The sequence below is a fragment of the Homo sapiens genome, chromosome 8 (assembly GCF_000001405.40).
Source record: "Homo sapiens chromosome 8, GRCh38.p14 Primary Assembly".
Classification (NCBI taxonomy): domain Eukaryota; kingdom Metazoa; phylum Chordata; class Mammalia; order Primates; family Hominidae; genus Homo; species Homo sapiens.
Window position 1 is genome coordinate 127,577,907 of NC_000008.11, and position 3,343 is coordinate 127,581,249.

General features: G+C 43.7%; 1 annotated feature.

The window, feature by feature from the left end:
- Positions 530-579: a silencer, noted in NCBI's record as "silent region_19528". NCBI's record gives its function as "represses an Ori minimal core promoter by ATAC-STARR-seq in GM12878 lymphoblastoid cells {active_cell/tissue: GM12878}" and the evidence as "EXISTENCE:reporter gene assay evidence [ECO:0000049][PMID:35858748]".

Genomic DNA, 3,343 nt, shown 5'->3' on the forward strand with positions numbered 1-3,343 from the left:
GAAACAGGCAGGTGCCAGCTGGTGATTTCTTGTCCTACACAGGTGTTCTGCATTGCCAGTTCTACCCCTTGGAATGTCTCAGCTGGACATTCACCTACTCATTCATTCACTCGTTCTTTCACTCATTCATTCATCAAGGAGTGATTGCAAACCTGGGAGCAGAGGAGACAAAAGGCAATGAGACATGGGCTGTACCTTCTTGAAGCTCACAGTCTACCAACAGACACAGCCTGTAAATAAGCAATTGCTGCATACAGAGATGAAGGTTTTAAAGAAGGTTTGCTTGTGGTCCAACTAGAGATGGTGGAGTAAGAGGTCAGAACTACTTTGGGGGCAAGAACAGGGGTCGGTGAGGACTTTATCCAGAAGTAAAGGCTGGAGCTGGCTGGGACCTCATTGAGTGAACAGGATGAAGAAGACATTACCAGCTGAGAAAACAGACAAAGGCACAGAGGCATGGCTGAGAAGAAAGCATTAAGAAGACCACAAACAGCCAGGTGTGATGGTGCATGTCTGTAGTCCCAGCTACTCAGGAAGCTGAGGCCAGAGGATTACTTGAGCCCAGGAGTTTTAGGCTACAGTGAGCAACAATTACACCACTGCACTCCAGCCTGAGCAACAGGGCAAGACTCTGTCTCAAAAAACAAATAAACAAACAAAAGAAACAAACAACTGGGAATGCCATACACCTGGGAAGAGTTAGGAGCAATGCAGCTGGAGAAGGCAGCAGAAACAGGCTGAGCAAGCCTCATGGGCTTTATCCTGAAGGCAGCTGTGGACCACTGAAGATTTTCAGGCAGGGAAATGATACGACAGATTTGCATTTTAGGAACAAGGTGAGCCTTTCTGATCCATGTATGAACTCATCAGGCCCACTTAAGTGAAGCTGTGCTCTATGTTTTTCTTCTGACTCTCAGCAGCATTTGTCACTGGAGGCCATCTCCCTTTCTTTGTATTCGGGGATGGAGCGCGAGCTTGATTCTCCTCCCACCTCTCAGATCGTGTCTTCTCAGCAAGTTCCTGTTTCACCAGGAATTTCCAAACATGCATGTCTCCCAGTTTTTCTGCCAAAAACTAACGGCCTTCATTTTCTCTCTGCTCTGTCTCTTGGGAATCTCAACCACACCTGCAGCTTCAACATTTTTTTTTTTTTTTTTTTTTTTTTTTTTTTTTTTTTTGAGATGGAGTCTCGCTCTGTCGCCCAGTCTGGAGTGCAGTGGCATGATCTCGGCTCACTGCAAGCTCCGTCTCCCGGATTCACACCATTCTCCTGCCTCAGCCTCCCGAGCAGCTGGAACTACAGGCGCCCGCCACCAAGCCCGGCTAATTTTTTTGTATTTTTAGTAGAGACGGGGTTTCACCGTGTTAACCAGGATGGTCTCCATCTCCTGACCTCGTGATCCGCCTGCCTCGGCCTCCCAAAGTGCTGGGATTACAGGCGTGAGCCACCGCGCCCAGCCGCTTCAACATTTTAAAGTACTTTGAAGGTGAGTCCTCAACCCAAATTTCCAACAGGGTTGTATGTATGATAGGGAGTCCCACAATGCTGCTAAATTGCCTAAACATTACTGGCTAACATTATAAAGTCTTTCCAGCAGAGCATATTTGTAGCCATATGTGAGAGTTTAGCTAAATCCTGTTTTATGTTAAGATTGTCACAAATGTATTAAAGTATTAAAGAGGTAAAAAGTAGCGTGGAGGCCGGGCGCGGTGGCTCACACCTGTAATCCCAGAACTTTGGGAGGCCGAGACAGGCAGATCACAAGGTCAGGAGTTCGAGACCAGCCTGGACAATATGGTGAAACCATGTCTCTACTAAAAATACAAAAATTAGCTGGGCGTGGTGGCACATGCCTGTAATCCCAGCTACTCGGGAGGCTGAAGCAGGAGAATCACTTGAACCTGGGAGGTGGAGGTTAAAGTGAGCCAAGATTGTGCCATTGCACTCCAGCCTGGGTGACAGAGTAAGACTCAGTCTCAAAAAAAAAAAAAAAAAAAAAGTAGTGTGGATACTGTTATACTCATCAAATAGATTCTTAGCCCTCTTCAGCAAGTATTTACTGAAAACGTACTCAATATACAACCCTGTGCTGGGCACTATGGAATATACAAAGGCAACCTTTCACACTCTCCTTTTCCTCAATGTGTTTTGACACCAGTGAGAACAGCAAGGGGCAATAGGACATTGTGACCCAGAGCACAAACTTTGGGCTTGACAAACTTAGGTTTGCATTCTTGCTCCTCACAAGCATAATCTTGGGAAAAGTTATTCCATTTCTTTTAAGTTCAGTTTCTTCATCTGTAAAATGGGGAACATAGTACGTCCCTCATAGACTGGTTTCAAGGATTTCATTCAATCAAAACTTAAAACATAATGCCTGGGATGTTGCAAGGACTCAATTCATGTGGTTGAAAAATATTCAGCCACTGTGAAAAAGTTTGGCAGTTCCTCATTAGAAGTTATCATGTGATCCAGTAAGTTCATCCCTAAGTATATACCCAAGGTAAATAAAAACATTTGTGCACACAAAACCTTGTATGATAGTGTTCATAGCAGCATTATTCACAGCAGTCAAAAGGTGACCCAACTGTCCATCAACAGATGAAAAATTGTGGTGTACACACATGGTAGAATATTCAGCAAGAAAAAGGAATGAAGTCCTGATATATGTCACAACATGGAGGGATCCCAGGAACATGATGTTAAGCTGAAGAAACCAATCACAGAGGATTACATATTGTATTTTTTCATTTTTATAAAATGTCCAGATGGCAAATCCAGACTGGGGAGAACACCACAGGGAATGGGAGAAGGAGACTAGAAGGCACTGCTTAATGGGGACAGGATCTCCTTTGGGGTAATGAAAATGTTCTAGATAGAAGTGGTAGTTGCACAACATTGTGGGTGTACTAAATGCCATGAATTATTCGTTTTAAAATGGTTGATTTTATGTCATGTAAATTTAATCTCAATTTTTAAAAAATGAATCTTTTTTGGCACTGAATGAATGAAAGCACATCATGCTTTTCCTGGTCCTAGGCTGGTCCTGGCTTTTATGTTGGCTTGAAATTTTGTGCATTGATTCTGTGTCCTGAAACTTCACTGAAGTTTAAAAACCATGGGGGCAAGGCAGGACCCCTGAGCTCCTCTGTAGTCCTCAGGTTCTAGCAGAAATTCAGTAGACAGTTCTTGCCTTTATGGAGCTTATAGATGGTAGGAGTGTTCCTAAGCTCTGAAGATAAGTTAACACCTTGTACCCACAATCTGCAACCTCTGTGCAAAACATTGTAAAGCTCTGAGTCTCAGTTTCTTCCTCAATGAAATAGAAGTAGTAATAATGCC